Source organism: Homo sapiens, chromosome 2, assembly GCF_000001405.40.
Source record: "Homo sapiens chromosome 2, GRCh38.p14 Primary Assembly".
Taxonomy (NCBI): Eukaryota; Metazoa; Chordata; class Mammalia; order Primates; family Hominidae; genus Homo; species Homo sapiens.
In genome coordinates, this window is record NC_000002.12 from 206,587,425 (window position 1) to 206,607,996 (window position 20,572).

General features: G+C 36.7%; 1 protein-coding gene across 3 annotated transcripts in view; it reads left to right on the plus strand.

Annotated features, from left to right (window-relative positions):
• Positions 1 to 20,572, plus strand: part of ADAM23 (ADAM metallopeptidase domain 23) — a 177,596-nt gene that overhangs the window by 143,893 nt on the left and 13,131 nt on the right. For 2 of the 3 annotated variants that reach the window (NM_003812.4, XM_005246932.4), the window contains exons 20-24: positions 667 to 730; positions 1,985 to 2,090; positions 5,193 to 5,312; positions 7,313 to 7,481; positions 8,627 to 8,738. In NM_003812.4, coding sequence (NP_003803.1) covers positions 667 to 730; positions 1,985 to 2,090; positions 5,193 to 5,312; positions 7,313 to 7,481; positions 8,627 to 8,738 — 571 coding nt within the window. Of the gene's footprint in view, positions 1 to 666; positions 731 to 1,984; positions 2,091 to 5,192; positions 5,313 to 7,312; positions 7,482 to 8,626; positions 8,739 to 18,365; positions 18,457 to 20,572 lie in introns of all 3 variants that reach the window. The other variant, NM_001410985.1, reaches the window with a different exon arrangement.

The window sequence follows — 20,572 nt, forward strand, 5'->3', positions numbered from 1 at the left end:
AAGTTTTTTTTTCCTTTTTTGATAAATATTAATATAACTTTGAAGGGAATTTTACTCAAGTAAATTATTATAGTGGGATTCTAATTTAGAGTTGCTTCATGTTATGCCAAATATTAAATATATTTACCTCTGGTGACAAATTGTCCAGATTAAGAGAAAAAAAAAAAGAATGTAATGGCTGAAGAACTGGGAGTCTCATTTATTGAGTTGTGACCATCTTTCAGTAATTTCAGCCTGCCTGGTGTGTGAAAGAAAATATGACAATCTGTCATGAGTTTTTTTTCCCCTGAAGCCATATTATAACCTACAGGTGAGTATCATGATGTCAAATGCAGATTTGATGTTTCCTAACCATCCATACACAAAAGAAGCTAAAAATCATTTTGGTGTCTCTCACAGAAATGTACCAATTTTTGTTTGCTGTAAAATTTCAAATTGTAGATGTTTAGTTTACATTTAGAGAGCTGTACAATGAGTTCTGTTTAGAGTTTTAAAGTTTTAACTCTTATTCTTGAGATATTTGTGATCCTTACTGGTCACTATAAAAATATTAGGGTATGAAATGAAAAAACTTTATCCAAGTGAACCAGAAGGAGACATTGTAGTAAAAACATTGGGGAAGACAAACTGACTCTGTGTGCCTCACATGTGTGCTCCTGTCCCCAGGGCCGCTGCTACAATGGCGAGTGCAAGACCAGAGACAACCAGTGTCAGTACATCTGGGGAACAAGTAGGTCGCACCTCCTTGCTTGGCGGTTACACATACCATTTTCTCTTAATAGTGTTCTTCTCTGCCAGTCTTGCTGAGAGAGATGCACAGCTTGGAGTGATGTTTTAAAAAAATCTAGAAAGGATGAGAATAAAGAGAACTGTGAATCTTAGTCACAAAAACTATAGAAAACAACTGCTTAAGTTGGGTACTTGTCAGAACTGAGCAGTGCCATTTAATGGCTGTGGCTCTCAGAGAAGGGGTGTTGCATTCATTTGCAAAGATTGGGTTGAGTACAGTGTGATTATCCAGCCACTTGTGTGATTTATTTTGTACCTTGGTTTTAACATTTGACCCCCTTTTTTTCCATTAACACACACACAAGTTAGCTTTCTGGTTTTTACCGCAGGAAAATACCAGACTTATTTTTTAAATTTTGTCATTTACTGTCTCACTTCAAAGTGAAGAGATGCATGTACTTCCTGAGATGCAGATAGGTACATGGCTGTGATTCTTAGTACATTCCGTAAAAGTTCACGTGCATATCCTCTTCCTGACATTTACAGTGCCTCTCCAATAATATCAGTTCATGAGGGCCAGACGGGGGGAAGAATGAGAAATGCGTCTGCCTTTCTAGCCAAGGCTGGGTTCACCCCAAAGGAAAAGAAAGCACACAGAATGAGAACAGGGCTCTGGCATGAGTGATTTTAGAGTTTGGCAAATATCATTTATTTGACTGATTTACATTCAGTGCTTTAGTTTTGACAGAGAAAAGATAATAGACATATTTGTATTTTGAAAGGTTTAATTATCAAAACTCAGGTGCCAACATAAAATCTCAATAGGCTACGACTTTATAATTATCTCCTAATATTGATATAAAACAAGATTAAGAATGTTAGTTTCCTGTGTGTCAGTCACTTCACCAATTCCTGCTGATAATCATTCGCACCTTCCATCCTCAAACTCACCAACAAGGATTGGAGAGAAATTTATTTCTCAGGCTAAAAACAGTGTTGTTTTGGAGCTTTTTTGTATTAGCTTGCAAGAGCCAATTGTTAAATTTTCAGGAATTTTGGAAGCCCATGGATATCACATTGAGTGTGAAATCAGCCATGGAGAATTTATACCATGGAAACTTGCAAATGCTACAAATCAGGATGTTCTTTTTCCTTGCTCTGGAGAATCGGGTGTTAAACACTTACTGGCACACTACTGGTTATGGATAACAAAGAAAATGAAAATTAATTTTCTTCTCTTGCCTATCTCCAAAAGAGGCTGCAGGGTCTGACAAGTTCTGCTATGAAAAGCTGAATACAGAAGGCACTGAGAAGGGAAACTGCGGGAAGGATGGAGACCGGTGGATTCAGTGCAGCAAACAGTGAGTGGTCAGCTCTAAGGGCATAGTCACTGGACTTGGAAGCCCTTCTTATGCAAGTGCAAAATGAGCACAAAATAAATGCTAATGATTTTTTTCTAAGTGTTCACCATTCCAAAATTTAAAGTATTTATTTTTAATAGGTATTATTATATCTAGAGGCAAATGGCTATAGATTAAACTGTTACTATGCTACAGATTCATGCCATTTTCACAAAATTCAGAAAATTTCTCAGGTGCCACATTTTACTTCATTTTTGTTCTGACGAGATACTTTGCCAGAGCATTACAAATTAATACTAGCTTTTAATTTTCTACTTTTACTAGAATATATGGCCTATGAGTGTAGTAGTATACATGTAGTTTAAATGCAAACTATATAGACCGTATATATTTTTGCGACCAACGTGAAATCTTACTGTGTTTTTTATCATTTCACAAGTGTAGTAACATTTGATTTAATCAGATATCTAATATCTACACCAGAGATTTTTTTTCCCTTCCAAAAAGCATCTAGTTAGTACATATTAAAGCCATCTTTACTCAGGAAATGAGATGCTTTCAGAGCACATTGATATTTCTTTCTCCCTTTCTTTTTTTTTTCGAGACTGAGTCTCGCTTTATCACCCAGGCTGGAGTACAGTGGCATGATCTCAGCTCACTGCGACCTCCACCTCCTGGGTTCAAATGATTCTCGTGCCTCAACCTCCTGAGTAGCTGGGATTACAGGCATCTGCCACCATGCCCGGCTACTTTTTGTATTTTTAGTAGAGATAGGGTTTCACCATGTTGGCCAGGCTGGTATTGAACTCCTGGCCTCAAGTGATCCGCCCTCCTCAGCCTCTCAAAGTGCTGGGATTATGGGCGTGAGTCACCACGTCCAGCCTGATATTTATTTGATTAGTTGAGGAAAGTTAGAATTCTCATTAATTAGGTTATTAAGGTTAATTGAATTACTGTGGAACAATGGAATCATTAAGGAATAGCCCAAACCTCTTTCCTTTTCCTTCTAAAGCAATGAAAATTCTCCTAATTTTGAAGCAGAGCAAGAATTTAAGGGAAGCTTTATTCTCAGTTAATGATCTCTGCTATATTTTACAAAACTTTGCATTTCCATTTAGTCTTTGATGATGGATGAGGCCACAGTAGGCAACAAATCTTTGACTATAATTTTTAAAAAATTAAACCAAAATAATAGAGAACAGAGCTTCTTATCTGATGTCTCATAAGTGAAGCACAGATGTTCCAAGGTGTTGATCCTCAGTCCTCGAGGTGTCAGGGGATAGGAGCAAGGGGAGCCTGAAGTAGTCAAAATCCATGGGATTGGACATCTTGAATTTGATTAGCTTTATTCATTCACTCCATGTCCTAGAGAATCTGATTATCTCTCTGTGTCTCATGACCTCAAAAAGTTTGAGAGGCATTGGATTAGATTATTGTAAAGGATAGCTTTTGAGTATCTGGTAATAGAATACCCAATCCCCAATAAGTTAAGGGAAATTAATGTGTTTGAAACTTGAAAAAATCATGAAATATATGACCAGACACGATGGCTTATGCCTGTAATCCCAGCACTTAGGGAGGCTGAGGCGAGTGGATCGCTTGAGTCCAGGAGTTCAAGACCAGTCTGGACAACATAGTGAGTCCTCATCTCTATTTTTTTTTTAAGTTGTGAAATGTATAAACATAAAAATAAATAACAAATAAATATACATTTTACCAAATAATTATGAAGTGAACTCCCATGTCACTCCTACATGGGTCAAGAAATAAAACATTGCAGCATCCCAGAAATAGTGCAGATACCTTCATCCTGACTTTTGTGGCAGTCACTTTCTTGCTTTTCTTTAGAGTTTTACTGCCTGTTTTCATCCCTAATGCTTCATGTATTATTTTGTATTTTGCTTCTCAAGTCCAGCATTTTAAGAGTTTTCTGTGGTGTGTATAGCTGTCTGTTGTTCATTTTTATTATTTATTTGTTTCACTTTTATAAATGCACAAATGAATGAATATACTATACTTTAGTTCTCCATTCTGTGTTGATGAACATTTAGTTTGTTTTCATTTTTTGGCTGTTAGGAACCATGCTGCTATGAATATTCTTGTATATGTAACCTAGTGCACATTTGTACCTCTTTCTGTAAGGCCTGTACATAAGTAGAAAATTTGCTAAGTCATAGGGGATCTTATCATTGTTACCAAATAATGTCAGACTGTTTTCTAAAATGGCTGAACTAGTAAATTCTACCATCAGTATTATGTATATAAGAATTTTATTGTACCATATTTCACCAACACTTGGTATTATCAGACTTTTTGCTTTTATCTGTTCTGGTGGGTGTGACCTGCTATATTAGCATGGTTTTAATTTGCATTTCCCCAGATTACAAGTGGAATCTAGCACATTTTTGTACATTTGTTGGACATGGATTTCCTTTTTTTGTGATGTGCCACTTCAATTCTTTGCCCATTTTTTAGGAGTCATTGTTTACTTAACAGATAGACTGGAGGTAGAGGTCCTCATGGTGCATGAATTTAACAAGGTCACCAAAGACCCAGATAATTTCTGCCCCTCCATCCTGTAACCCTTAGCATGTTGATTTTTTGTCCTTATGCTTTGTGAACTCATGATTGTAAAGTGGATACAAAAGCTACACATTCAAAGGTAGGAAGTAAGGATAGGAGCAAAAGGTCTTCTCCCTGTCAGTCTCTAACCTTTTATCCAGAAAACAAAATCCTCCCAGCCACTCCCTAGCCAGCTTCTCCTCACATCTTCACAGCCCAGGGGCCACTTTTAACTCTAGGAAGACGAGAAGGGGGAATGGATAGGAAAGTGGGCGTCGAGAATGGGAGTACCAAGAATAGATGAGACAGCAGTCATGATCCACCTTTCAGGGCTGGGCACTTTGCTGTTCCAAACAAAACTGTGATCCTCTTAGCAAAGAAGGAGGAGGTTATCACCTACCAATGATATATGATCAAATGTTTTTGTTTAGAAAGAAAGATAATATTTTAAAAATTTGAATCAATGTGGACCGAATCGTTTTGATTTTTTGAGCTTGATTCCTCCTGTCTGGTCTGTTTGTTTTCTTTACACATGTTCAGTGATGTGTTCTGTGGATTCTTACTCTGTACCAATCTTACTCGAGCTCCACGTATTGGTCAACTTCAGGGTGAGATCATTCCAACTTCCTTCTACCATCAAGGCCGGGTGATTGACTGCAGGTAACATATTAAATATTAGAAGACCTAATAAGCCATGAGAATTACAAATTTCACAAAATGAAATTTCAAAAAAATCAGAAATCAAAGATTTTTCTAGTTTTTACAAGAGGAAAGTTAATTTAGATTTTATTATCACCTTTCATATTGACAGTCACTTAAAAAGAAACAAAGTTGTATATTGACTTGCAGCTTACATTTGCTCAAAATTATACTAGTTAGTAGTAATATGGCCTTCTTTGTCATCATAATTTTAGGAGTAGAATTATGGTGTTCATTCTAACCCATTATTAAAGTTTTAAGCATTAGAGTATGCCACTATTTTGAACACTGTGTGTGTATTTATTTTGTGACTGAAAAGAAAAAGAATTTAAGCTATAGTTTATGAAGTGTATGTCTGGTTTGGAAGATGGCTTAACAAATACCTAATCATATATAGAAAATATTTATTAAAATAGTATGTATACCGATAAGCAAACATTTGATATCCAGTTGTCTGTGAGTACAAGGCATGTAGATATGAGGCTTATTTTTGTTTAGTCGGGGAGTCATATTATATTCCAAATAGGTATTGTTCCCTTCAAAGTAGTTATAATTCGAAGATACTATTCTCTTACTCAATGGTATTGTTGTTGCTCAAAACACTTTTGGGCTTCCCCCTGCAGAATTGCCTTCAGCGTCTGCAAACTTTTACTTTTAGTATCCTTAGAGTACCATATCTTCACCTTAAGTGAGGTAATATAAGATTTGGGATTATCCAAAAGTAATTTTAGTAAATTCATTGGGTACTAAATTGGCTAATGCTGTCTCAGTCAAATGGTTACTTTTTTTTTTCTTGCTTTTAAATGGCTCTGAAGACAATTCTAACAGGGTCTTAGTAAGATCCCTCCTGGAATAAATTTGTAGTCTCTAAAGCTAGTTACTTTGACGTATACAAGCTTTATTTGAATGTGTGTTTTCATGCCTTTAGATAAAATAGCCTTGTTAAATTATATTGTTGTATATACTAAACTAGCATATTTGTTAAATATTCAGCAAGATATTCTATTAGTGACTATAGCATTATCATTCAAATTCAAATTATACCTAACTTTGAAATTTTAGAAGTAAGCACTAAAACACATGAAATAATCTTATGAAACCACTGTCATATATGTGGTCTGTCATTGACTGAAATTTTTTACACAATGGTAAGTACTTGCCTATCTGAACGTATCTAAACATAGAAAAGTCATACTGCCCCTTTTCTATGTTTAGATACGTTTAGATAGGCAAGTACTTACCATTGTGTTATAATTGCCCACAGTTTGCAGTACAGTATAATATGCTATACAGAAGTGTAGCCCAGGAGCAATAGACTAGACCATCTAGCAGTGTAGGTGTATAGTAGGCTATACCATCCAAGTTTGTGTAAGCTCATTCTATGACATTTGCACAAAGACAAAATTGACTAATGACACAATTCTTAGAATATTATCCCCATCATTAAGCTAGGCATGTCTGTAAATATCAATAGAAAATAACTGATTTGTTTATGTTTTTCAATTATGGATAATCAGATCTTCTGAAGTAAGAATAATAATTTTCAAAATATTTTTCATTTGCTGTTTTTGTTCATCGTCTGCTTTTTTCTACCATGCTACATCTGAAAGCCTTGGAGAGCTAATGATATATTTGCTTCTTTTGTTCTCATATAGATACTTCTCTCCTTTAGTCTTAATGTTGGGTCTTGAAAACACGTGAAGATTTAGAATATACTTTGTGCAAATGACATTTTTCTTGTTGATGTGTACTGTAATAATGATAATGAAAGAGTGTTTCTTTTTCATGCTCTTTTATTAAGGAAAGGTAGGGAAAGGGGAAGAAGAAGAGGAGTAAGAAAATGCTAGGAGAAATCCACATCCACTGACAGCCTCTTCGGTTTTGTGAAGAGCAAGCCTCATTCATGGAATGATGTTCTAAGTGTGGTGCAAATAGTTATATGGGTATCTTTCTTGTTTTAGTGGTGCCCATGTAGTTTTAGATGATGATACGGATGTGGGCTATGTAGAAGATGGAACGCCATGTGGCCCGTCTATGATGTGTTTAGATCGGAAGTGCCTACAAATTCAAGCCCTAAATATGAGCAGCTGTCCACTCGATTCCAAGGGTAAAGTCTGTTCGGGCCATGGGGTAAGTAGGTATCAATGTGACAGCTGGAACCTTCATGGTCTGGCATGGTCACAGTGACTGGACTTTAATTTCAGCCATTCTCCTAGCCAACATGGTGAAACACCATCTCTACTAAAAATGCAAAAAATAGCTGGGCGTGGTGGTGGGCACCTGTAGTCCCAGCTACTCAGGAGGCTTTTGCAGAAGAATCGCTTGAACCCAGGAGGCAGAGGTTGCAGTGAGCCGAGATTGAGCCACTGCACTCCAGCCTGGCGACAGAGCGAGACTCCATCTCAACAACAACAACAACAAAAAAGGCCAAATTCAGCCTTGTTAATCACAATCATGGTATTAGAATATTTCAGATTAAAAAGCTTCCTTGTTTGATTTTATCATCTCTGAATGTGTTTCTCAGGGAGATAAGGGTTTAAACACTCCTGTCTCTAGTTTGCTCATTGTTATTTATTTCCTCTAGATTACAGTTCCATTCCAGCATGCTGGTGGGTCCCTGGAGAAACAGGGAGGAGACAGAGATCACTCTGGGGTCCTCAGCTTGGCTGACTGAGAAAAGAGGGTTACCAAGGACTAGGGGTGTGGGGGTGTGGTGGGGGGGAATCCTTGTTGGGCAGGGAAAGTGCCACCAAGTGAGTTTGGTGTTGGACGTGGTAACGGTGAGGTCATACAAGGCACTGGTGATTTATGTCTCCTGGCCTTTTATCTCCAGCAGTGCTTTTGAGCCCACTGTCTATTAATTTATTGAAGTAAGTGTATATGTTTTTAAAGTGGGTTCCTAGAAACAGTTACTTCTGAACAAAGTAGAAAAAAGTATCTTATCAGACATTTGTATACTTATGTAATATCATGATTCAATTTAATTTAAGAATAACATGAATAATTCAATTTAAGAATAATAATAAATAATAAGATAAATAATTGAAGAATTTCTTCCTTTTACTCTTTTTCTTTAATTAATGGGAAAAAATGTTACACAATTTGATCTATGCATTATTACCTTGTGTCTAGTGATCAAGACCATGGGAAACTTTAAAAAGAAATTCCAAATAGCTTTTAAAGCTTCCTCCCTGCCCCCGTGTCTCTTTTACATTTATCACTATTATTCTACAAAATACAGTGAAAATGCCATATCTGTTCCTTTTTCTTCACAGGTGTGTAGTAATGAAGCCACCTGCATTTGTGATTTCACCTGGGCAGGGACAGATTGCAGTATCCGGGATCCAGTTAGGAACCTTCACCCCCCCAAGGATGAAGGACCCAAGGGTTTGTGTGATTTTGGTTTCAATTCATGGAATACTGAATTCGTTGACACTGTTCCAATGCACCAGTATAACATTCTAATTGACTTAAGAGGAGACACATAAGAATATCTGTTTTTGCCTTTAAAGTATATAATTTATGTTACTGCCAAATTAAGGATTCTGATATATCATATTTTTAAAATGTGTTTGAATTACTTCTTAGTCTAGAACTGAGATTGGGAAGAAGTAAATATACACATTTTCTTTAATACAGTATTCTTTTTCTCTTTAAACCTTATTCTCTTTCTGTAGTCACAAATTATTTTGCAGTTCGTCTAAGCTATGCCATTTTTCTAATAGATCAAATCTTTTTGGCTGACATGAGGCTCTGGTTACTTTTCAATGTTGGAATCTCTCCGGAAGGAAGTTGTCACCTTACAAGCTCTTTTTGAACATTCTTTTGACTAGGAAGGAGTTGGAATTCTTCATAGAACTTTCATTCTTCAAAGAAAATGTGAGAGATCTGGACCTTTGTTTTAATCAGTCATTAAGAGGAGAGAAATTAGAATTTTGGGATTAGAAAGAGACTCAGGGGCCACCTAGGACCACTCTCTATTTTCGCAGATGAGAAGGCCCAGACCCTGAGGTCAGGTCACTTACTATAGTCACCCAGGTAGTGAGAGACAAGGCCAGGATCAGGACCTAAGTCCTAAGTGCCTGATCTCAGACTCTTGTTCTCTTCCCATCCATTATATCATCTTTTTTTTTTTTTTTTTTTTTTTTTTGAGACAGGATCTTGCTCTGTCACCCAGGTAAGAGTGTAGTGGCACAATCATGGCTCACTGAAGCCTCAAACTGCAAGGCCCAAGAATCCTGCCACCATGCCTGGCTAATTTTTTATTTTTTGTAGAGACAAGGTGTCACTATGTTGTCCAGGCTGGTCTTGAACTCCTGGCCTCAAGTGATCCTCCCGCCTTGGCCTCTCAAAGTTCTGGGATTATAGGTGTGAACCACTGCACCCGCCCCTCTTACATCATCTTTTTTTTTTTTTTTTTTTGAGACAGAGTCCGACTCTGTCGACCAGGCTGGAGTGCAGCGGTGTGATCTTGGCTCATCGTAACCTCTGCTGCCTGGGTTCAAGAGATTCTCCTGCCTCAGCCTCCTGAGTAGCTGGGATTACAGGCACCTGCCACTGCGCCTGGCTAATTTTTGTATTTTTAGTGGAGATGGGGTTTCATCATCTTGGCCAGGCTGGTCTTGAACTCATGACCTCATAATCCACCCACCTTGGCTGGGATTACAGGTGTGAGCTACCGCGCCTGGCCTCTTACATCATCTTATAATGTAGTCTGTGTTATCAGGAGTATGGTAATCATTTTTCATTATTCTCCCGATTCTCAACCCCTCATACAATTTTCAAAGATCTAGAAAACCCATCAGTCACAAACAGGCCTACTACAGCATCTGTTACATTGTACCTAAGAAACCAAGGAAATACTAGAACCAGTTTTTATATACAGGGATGACGTTGTACATCAGCTTCTTTATCATGGTACTGCTAACAGTTTTTTTGTAACTGCCGTGCTTTTCTCTGACAGGTAGGAAAATGCATATAGGATTAGTACCATTTAGATCAGCTTAGTTTTGGATGAAAGTTTATTGAAACTCTCTGAACTTCAGTATAGTTTATATGGGAAAAGATGATTTCAGATGCAGATGAAGCTCTGTAGTCCTCAATTCCTGAAGAGATTTAGGCTGATTCAGGCGCATGTGAATTGTTCAGTAATAGTGGGTGTGTTAAAACACATTTTATGCATTTGCTTAATATGCCCATGATATTAAAATTCTGTAAGAATCATAATCACACCCTCACAGTCTATTTCTGTTCTCCTTCTTCTATTTCTAAAAGGGAACGTATTCCACTTTTACACTTAGTCTTTTGTTACTTTAAAACTAGAACAAAAAATTCTTGGATCCACCTTCTGAAGTTAGATTTAGAGAAGATTTAAGCTCTAACAAGAGAAGCCAAGGTTCATTCTTTCCAAATTTTCTCTCCACAGTGTTTCTGTGATTTTTTTTTTAAGATCTAGATGCTATTTCCTCAAGTGATGTATAAAGATGCCTCAACGGATGAGCAGAGCTAAATTTACTTAGACTCTGCCTTTTTTTCTTTAAGTAGAGTAGGGGGTTATTAATTGTCTGGTTCTGTAATATCTATTCCCTGTTCCTTCACCCACCCATGCCTAAAAATCTTTGGAGGCATTAAGTAAAGAAAGTCACATTCTAGAGAAAGAGTACTCACAGCTGCCTTTTGTTTTGTTTTGCTTTACTCTCTCCATTTAATGTGGTAGTATCCCACACTACCTTTAAAAAAAAATAACTTTTTTGATCCTTCAAGTAATACATACTTATTGTAGAAAAATTTGAAAATACGGAAAATATTAAAACTCAGAGGTGCTCAAGATAAGCCTTATTGGGCCTGGCTCAGTGGTTCGCGCCTGTAATCCCAAGACTTTGGGAGGCCGAGGGCAGGTGGATCATCTGAGGTCAGGAGTTCGAGACCAGCCTGGCCAACATGGTGAAACCCCATCCCTACTAAAAATACAAAAATTAGCCAGACACGATGGCACATGCCTATAATCCCAGCTACTTGGGAGGCTGAGGCACGAGAATTGCTTGAACCCAGGAGACAGAGGTTGCAGTGAGCCAAGATCGTGCCACTGTACTCCAGCCTGGGTGATAGAGTGAGACACTGAGCCCCCTACTCATCCCCCAAAAAAGAGGCCAGGCACGGTGGCTTACACCTGTTATCCCAGCACTTTGGGAGGCCCAGGCAGGCGGATCACCTGGGGTCAGGAGTTTGAGACCAGCCTGGCCAACATGGTGAAAACCCATCTCTACTAAAAATACAAAAATTAGCCGGGCATGGTGGTGCGTGCCTGTAGTACCAGATACTGGGGAGGCTGAGGTAGGAGAATCGCTTGAACCCAGGAGGTGGAGGTTACAGTGAGCCGAGATCGTGCCATTGTACTCCAGCCTGGGTAACAGAGCGAGATTCCATCTCAAAAAAAAAAAAAAAAAGAGATAAGCATTCTGGTATGCTTCTTTCCTGTTGCATTTTTCTTTTTCCATTTTTAATGAAGACAATGGAGTCATTGCAAAGTTATCTATTGGTTCTAAAATTATTAAAAACCTTATGAATCTCTAATAATTTTGATTAAATTGAAAATGTCATTAAATGAAATAAATGACCTAGTTATTTTTATAAATATTTACATTTCCAGAAAATTCAAGCAATTTTAGTACAAGTAAATAATAGCTTTTATCTGTAATAGCTATCTATATCTTTTTAACCTCTATTTAAAAAATCTATTAATATACTGGTAAAACAGAAACTAAAAAATTTTAAAACTCTGTTGTAGATTTTATTATTTTGTTTTTGATTGTCAGGTTAAAAGAAGATTCCAAGTGAGAAATTATGTGCTTTTCGTTTTATTCAGTTAGCAAATATTTATTGACTGTCTACTATTTAAAAGATAGCGTATGCTTGGCACACAGACACTCCATAAATATTACACTCTTCTCTTTTGAAATATGCAAAGGAAATGAGATGGTGCATGCTAGTGCCACTTTTCAGTTTATCCATATTCATTTGTTTTGTTGCCTTGCCGACGAGTAATAGGTAATGGACTCAAGTTATTAAAACAATCAGTGTTTTACTTACTGTAGGCTCAGCAGTGTGTGAGACACTAAGATTTTTCTCAAAAAATGCATGTTGTGGCCGGGCACGGTGGCTCACGCCTGTAATCCCAGCACTTTGGGAGGCCAAGGCGGGCGGATCACAAGGTCAGGAGATCGAGACCATCCTGGCTAACACAGTGAAGCCTCGTCTCTACTAAAAATACAAAAAAATTAGTTGGGCGTGGTGGCAGGCACCTGTAGTCCCAGCTACTCGGGAGGCTGAGGCAGGAGAATGGCGTGAACCTGGGAGGCAGAGCTTGCAGTGAGCTGAGATCGCGACACTGCACTCCAACCTGGGCAACAGAGTGAGACACTGTCTCAGGAAAAAAAACCAAAAACTGCATGTTGTATCTTTTTTCTCATGATCCAACTGGTTTGGTTGGCACCTGCCTGATTGAGCACAGTGTTTGGGCCCTCCCCAAATGCTTGCCATTTATAATGGGCACCACCCACAGTGGCCAATCATATCCATAGATGAAGGTTTTCTGTATAGGTGCAGTAAGAGTATTAAAAATACTTAGTTTTATTTAATTTCAATGTGCTTCCATTATATAGAGAAAAAAATTCAAGAAACATAATGAAAATATGGCCTTTTTAAAAATCATGAACATGGGCATAAAAGATAAATTGTACCCAACTGCCCTTTGGATCAAGACCAAATTAGTAAAAATGAAGGCGAATTCTATGACTCCGTCTTCACTGATTTGAGAATGTCAGAAATGAACTGATGTGTTTTGTGTATTTCTTTTATTTTAACTATAAGTTCCTGGAAGAATAGGAAATTCAACCTCTCCTGTGTGAGGACTGAAAGCATACCTGAAAGCATTGCCACTGTAGTCACCCTGTACTTACTACAGTTGTCCACTATGGACCCATAATTTAAGGCATGCTAGATTATTCACGCCAACTTCTCAAACCAAACTATTGAAAGACAAGAAATAAGATCTCAAAGCACAAACCATGTGAGCAAGGATTTTTTAAAAAAGATTTTTGTCACATTATTTATTTTTTCTACGTTGTTCATTTCACATGCAAAAACCCTTTCTTAAGTTTATTTTTAATTTTTTATATTTTTTAAGCCTAGTCCTTCTCTCAACTTGTTTCCACTGAAATCATTATAGAAAATTATTTTGCTTTGTTCTACAAGGACAGAATGTATTTTAACTCTGTTTAAAAGACCTAGAATTCTCTCCTGTTACAGGGAGACCCACATCAAGTACCCCAATTATTGTCTGTATGTAGACACATTCTCAAGGTGCTTACTATAGAATACAGTGGAACTTTTCTCATTTGATAGTTTACATCACCATTGTAAGAAGGAAGAGAAACTGGGACATAGGTAATGTTTTCAGTGATATGTATGGGCAGATATTCCTGGGAAGCTTTGGTCAGACCTTTTCATCACAACCACACTCATCAAATCAGAAATGAAAAGGGCCTTAGAAAGAATTCAGTCTAGACCCCTTGTTTTACAAATGAAGAAACTAAGTTAGTTTTCAGGGTTAACAAAGAGTGAGAGGCAGAGCCAATAATATAACATAATCACCTTATCTTGAGCCAAATGCTTTTTTCTGTTATTCCATACTCCTGTTTTGAAGTTGAATAGTGAGGCTAGGCACAGTGGCTCACGCCTGTGATCCCAACACTTTAGGAAGCTGAGGTGGGCAAATTGCCTGAGCCCAGGAGTTCCAGACCAGCCTGAGCAACATGGAAAAACCCCGTCTATATAAAAAAATAAAAAAATTAGCCAGTTGTGGTGGCATGTGCCCATAGTCCCAGCTACTTGGGAGGCTGAAGTGGGAGGATCACCTAATCCCATGAGGCAGAGGTTGCAGTGAGCCAAGATCACACCACTGCACTCCAGCCTGAGCAAGAGAGTAAGACCCTTCTCAAAAAAAAAAAAAAAAAGCTGAATATTAAGTTATTCTGCTAGTTCTCATAGCACAATAGTAAACAGAAAGTGAAACAATAACCAGGTAGTAATCAAGCTTATTAACTGATCCATTATTGTCAGTGATGCTTTTTATGGAATTAGATAAGAAAGGAAGTATTATATTATTATCATTTAGTATTTTTAAAATAATAGTTTTGAAGTCTTATTTTCTGAGGTATTAACCTTGAGGAGTATTTAGTGTTTACATTTACCTTTTGCAATATATCCTTTTGGTGACTGTCTTCGTCAGTGCACAAATCTTTGATTTTATAGTTTAGATGATTAGATATGAGAAGTTATCCTTATCATATATGATTATGCTCATGTATAATTATGTGCTACCTGGATATTTTTCTCAAATAACAATGGCCTTATCAATAACCCAAGGATATATCAAGTTTAAAAATTTTTTAATAACTGAATTTATTTTGTTTCAGTTCAGAAAAACCCTATTTTCATTGACAGCATAAACTGAAATATATTCTTACATGAAATCATTTATTTTGCATCCTTTTAGACATTTGTCCATGTATCTAAAAATGAACTTGTTTTTTTCTTTTATGGAAAACAGTAAGGAGATCTGATTGTATGTATAATGTATTGAAATATGGAGCTACATACCAATATTATACACTAGTATATAAAGAGTTTATTTAGTATTTACTTTTCTTGTCTTGAATGGTAGTGGAATAATAAATCCCTGAAGAAAGCACTTTGGTCCATGGAATACAAATGATGACTTTGATGCCTCCTGCCTGTGAAGTATCAAAAGATACAGGATTTTAACCCCCTTTGGAATCACTTGGGGGAAATAATGCATCTTCTTATTTGAGAAACTCTCTAAAAATAAGGAAAAAAACCCACTCAATTTCAAAACAGCACATTTTCAAAATGTCTGAAGCATGACATGTCTATAAAGGAATTCTACATATAAAATAGAAAATCTTAAGAAAAGGAGAAAATTTATAGTTTTTGATATTTTATACTTACCAAAAATTCTGTCTTTTAGCACAAGTAAACCTAGGTAGCAGGGACCAAGACTGAAAATAATAATAAACCAACAAGTAATGGAAATAAGCAAGTAAACAAAAATGAAAACATTCTGCTAGGTAATAAACAGATTCCACAAACACATTATACTGAAAAGTAAGTGTATCAAAGAGTTAGGGAGCAAAGTTAAGTTCCTAATAAAAGGATTGTGTTGTCAGCTAGAAGCTTTAAGCGTTCCATCTCCAGGTTTGGTAGGATGAGAAGGAAAATAAGATATATCATCGTGTGTCCAGCATAGTTCCTTGAACAAAAAAAAAGGTATTTAGTAGGTAATGAATGAATTAATGAATAAATTACAGAATAGATAAATTAGTGTAGAAGTAGAATTTTTTTCAATGAGATGATAAATTCTTTGTAGCTATGAAAAGCAGCTGCAACCTTTGTTTTCAAATATGTCCCCTATAAAAATCCACCCACCCGTGAGCTACTCAGTTAATTTATGTCAAGGTGATGCACAAGTTCCTACTTGCCAAAACAAAGTTCAGCACTCTCTAAAGGAAGAGAACAAAAGCAAAGCAGAATCGACAAAAAGAAAATCTTCACATCTTTAAGAGACAACCATGTTCAGTACAATGACAAAGAATCAAATGGCACTTTACATGTATTTGCAGGATACTGTGTCACTCAAAGTAATGGGAGGGAGAGAGAACAGGGAGGGTAGGGATGCTTTTGAAAAAGCTTTTTTTCCCACTTTTAACTTGCTTTAGCGTTAAGAGTACTTACCAGCTAATAATGTGGAGGAAATTATTCTTTCTCATTGGAGATTACAGAATATATCTATTCATCTTGAATACCCACTTGAAGCCTCTGTAGAAATGTCTCGTCCTCCGGTTGTATTTCTAAAACCTACATGATTTTGTCTTGTTTCTGCAGTGAGAAATTACATCCATAGCAAAGACAAAAGTCTTTTTAAATTATTTTTATTTATCTTTCATATAGTTCTTACAATTTCTAAAAAATTAACACTCATTTAGTATCACAATTTATGGGAGAGGGTTTTTTGTATTTTTAAGCATATGTGGCTTATATAAAAATTGCAGAAGTCATAGGACTGTCATGTATTGCAGCTCTGAGAACCAATGCCTGAAACTTAAGCCAAAAAAAAAAAAAAAAAGTTATGACCAGGCACGGTGGCCTCATGCCTGTAATCCCAGCACTTTGGGAGGCCGAGGCAGGCAGACCACGAGGTCAGGAGTTCGAGACCAGCCTGGCCAATATGGTGAAACCCTGTCTCTAACTAAAAATACAAAAATTAGCCGGGTGTGGTGGTGCGCACCTGTAGTCCCAGCTACTTGGGAGGGTGAGGCAGAAGAATTGCTTGAACCCGGGAGGCAGAGGTTGCAGTGAGCTGAGATCATGCCACTGCACTCCAGCCTGGGCGACAGAGCGAGACTCCATCTCAAAAAAAAGAAAAAAGAAAAAAAAGTTATAAAATAATGTATATCAGTTAATTTAGTATTCTGAAAGCAAGGGTTTTCTAAGGTCTTTTTAAAAATGAGGCTTCATATTTTGAATACCTTTCAGTCCCAGTGTTTGCCTCCATAACTTGAAAATCGGAGTAGTTCAGGTGGTTTTGAGTTCTAATGTATTGTCATAGTGGGGAAACATTGCTGCCACCTTCTGTGTTGGTCTTCTTCCCTTAGCCTTCAACACTCTCGGGGGACTTTTCTGTTCTCTGTTGTGTCCCCATCTTTTTGTTTGTTTGTTTTTTAAGAAACCAGGTTGTGCTTAGTCAATGATAAAACTAGAATTTCTCCCTCACATTATTATCTTGTGATAAGATAAAGCAGTATACAGTTAATTAACAGGGTTAGAAATCCAAGATTCTTTCTCTTCCTCTGGGAAAATATTTAGCTAAAAATGTCAGTGAGCCCAATTGTAAGCCTTAAAAAATGGTGGCTTTGAGTCGTGGATCTTTGTTTCGTTTCACTGTCTCAGAGCACACAATACATGTGAAGGGCAGCCTTGTTGAAGCTAATCTCTGTTTTCATGGGAAAGGTAATTTGAAGCCAGTCCTTTTGATTCCTATAGAAATATGAAATAAAGTGTATGTATGTCCACACACTTGTGTGCACACAGGCACAGACACACAACTGCAAACAATGTGTCTTCCAACTTTAACACCAAACTTCATTTTGCCTTTGTAGCGGGAACCTTGGGGACCTCCACTCATTCCAGGCCCATTTTCCAGGATTGGAAAGCTGTACACAGAGAAGCAGTGACATAAAGTTATTCAGATTCTCACTCTGATAGTCATCTACCACTTGGTGGTCTGAAGCAATTAATACGGTTTCCCAGAGACCCTAACTTTCTATAAGTTTATCCACTTGAGACTACTAATAAACAAAAAACAAAATGTCTAAATACTATGACAGAAATCCAAATATTGCAGACTTATCTGAAATACGCTTTTCAATAACTTCCCAGGTAAACATGTATTTACTTTTAAAGCTATTCTGTCTTGAATTTGTAAGGATCTTTGCAAAACTGAATGATATATTCTGAATTTTGAAAAGATGTAGCTTCTTAGGCATATTTTACAGTTTGAGAATTTTATAAACAATTACTAATGGTTCATTACTTTTGTAATTAAAATACAGATTTGCTGTTATGCAATTTAAATTACTTTTTAATTTTACCTCACATCTGGTAGGAACTATAACAAATTGAATTATTTATGTATTTATAAGTACGTATAAGATAATTATGTTTTTTAAAAGTAGGGTGTGCAGAATTTGAAGGTAAATTCACAGTTATCCTCAAATATCTTCAATGTGTATGTAGATCTTAATTTCAAATCTTATAGCAAAAAAATTCAATATTTAGCCAACTTTCAAAGCATGTCCTGAATAGATTATTTTGTATGTTAGTGAAATTAGTATGTAATTTCCTTTGTTAAAAAATCTCCATTTTCCCTCCACACAGTGAATATGGCCACAAGCAGGCTAATAGGGGCCGTGGCCGGCACCATTCTGGCCCTGGGGGTGATTTTTGGAGGCACAGGGTGGGGAATAGAGTAAGCATCCTTGCCAGTTTCAGAGTGTTTCTGTGTGGTGCCTGATGTGTGAGGCGATGCCTGTACCTGACTCCATGTCTCGTCCTGTTGACCGTGTTTCCTGTGGTAGTGCACCTTGTGGTGTGACTTGGATGTTGCTTGTGTCCTGTGGTTTTCTTGTGTCATGTAGAACCTTCTCCTGTCTGGAACAATGTGGGGCATAACATAACACTGGGTGTGCTTCCGATATCTTCATAATTAAGGCAATAGTCCCAACACTTCCATTGCTCCTCCACTTTGTAGAAGTAATTTTAAAATACAGACTTTTTTTTAAACCATTTATTGGCAAAAATGCTTTTATATGTGTGTTTTCTTAGGATTCTTGTAATAAAGTTAATCTGTGCCAGTCAAATAAATTTACATATATAACTAGCAATTATCAACAGTTATAGGACCTTTTAAAGGTAATAAAAATGATAGCTACTAATGTTTTCTTCATTTATTTAGAATGATATAGGAGGCTGCAGCTTAATTTTTTAAAAAGAAGATATTTAGCATACTGCCTTCCTATTTTTCCTATAAAATAGGTTAATAATTCAAAATTGAAGTCTACATAAATATTTGGAAGCAAGGAGCATTAAGAATGAAAAAATATTTAATCCAAACCTGTATAACCATAAGTGAACAGCTGCAAATCACCTGGTGGGTTCGTCTTAAAAGTAGCCAGGGTGTAAATAAATATATTGTGTGCCACTTGCCCATTAAGCTGTCACAGAAATACAGTTCTCCTGATGCTTTGATTTAGGGTGCTCTGTACTTGATCCACATCCTCAGAATAGCTGTCAGTTCTCCAGGGCACATTGCTTCCTGAGATTGCTAATCTGTAGATTAAAATATTATCATGATTTTTTTCTTCTCTCTCTAATTAGAAAAAGAATATTTAAGAATGGCAGACATAACCCTTTACACAGTCTTTTCTGTCTACTGTGGTGGTGGTGGTAACACTTCAAAGTGGCCCAGGAATGAATTACTAGTATCTTCAGGAATCACTAGATATCTTTGACTCACCCATCCCAAATCATGGGCTTATTGTGAATATCAGATATGTTTTTCTATAGTCCCATTAGTTAGAACAAATGGGTGCTCCTCTTACACACTGGAATTGGGAGACCCGGGGACCAAAATAGCATTAAGAGGGAAGCAGGTTCATAGTTCACACCTTGTGTTGAAGATGACATGAGCCTTCTTTCTCCTGGATTCAAGGACTTTGACCAGACTTAGATCTTCCAACTCACATCTCATCTCTATGGACTGTGAAGCTGGTTAGCACAGGGGAAGCTAGAAATACTAGAAAAGAGATTTTGTTTCTCCTTGTGTATTAGAAAACAAAGACCATAACAGGGATAAAAATATTTAGAGACAAAAACTTTGTCCTGTAAAATTTCCCCTTGGATCTGTTGACTGGATTGTATACAGAAGAAACATTCCTTTTTCAGGGCCAGCTCCATGCATGCATTTATGTGAAATTCCTCCTTGACAAATGGTAGTTTTCTGAAAATCATCCCAAATGCATTTTTTAACATTATACATTGGCTGTAACTTTGGTGTCCTTAAATGTACTAATTGAAAGGATGAATTTTAATAATCCTTCCTTGAAGTCTTAGAGATAGGTAAAAATCAAAGAGGCCTTTCTTGTAAAACATAGTCCTTGTTATCAGCATTTGTTTTCATCAATCATTTCCAGTTTTGTTCGTTTGTGACTATTTCTAATTGTGACAGGTAAGTCTGTGTAAGTGTATGTATATTTTTTCTAAAGATAGATTTGTTATTATTCCTGGTTTATGAGCACTAGTTTTCTCTTAGCTTACTGATTTTTTTCCCCATCAAATTCCAAGTTTTAGCATAATTGCTCAAGAAATATAGTTTTTTAAAAAATAATGTAGTACAATATAGATTGTCTCAACATTTCTTAGTTTAATTGATAGAGTAATGTTCATTCAGTCACTAAGAATTCCATGGACAGTTTTTTTTTTAATTTCTCCTTAGTTTATAAGTCAGGAATCATTTTTCATGAATTATGTGTTGATTCTAATCCTAGCCTGTTTTCTGAAGCGGACGAAGTGCAAATCATATCCAA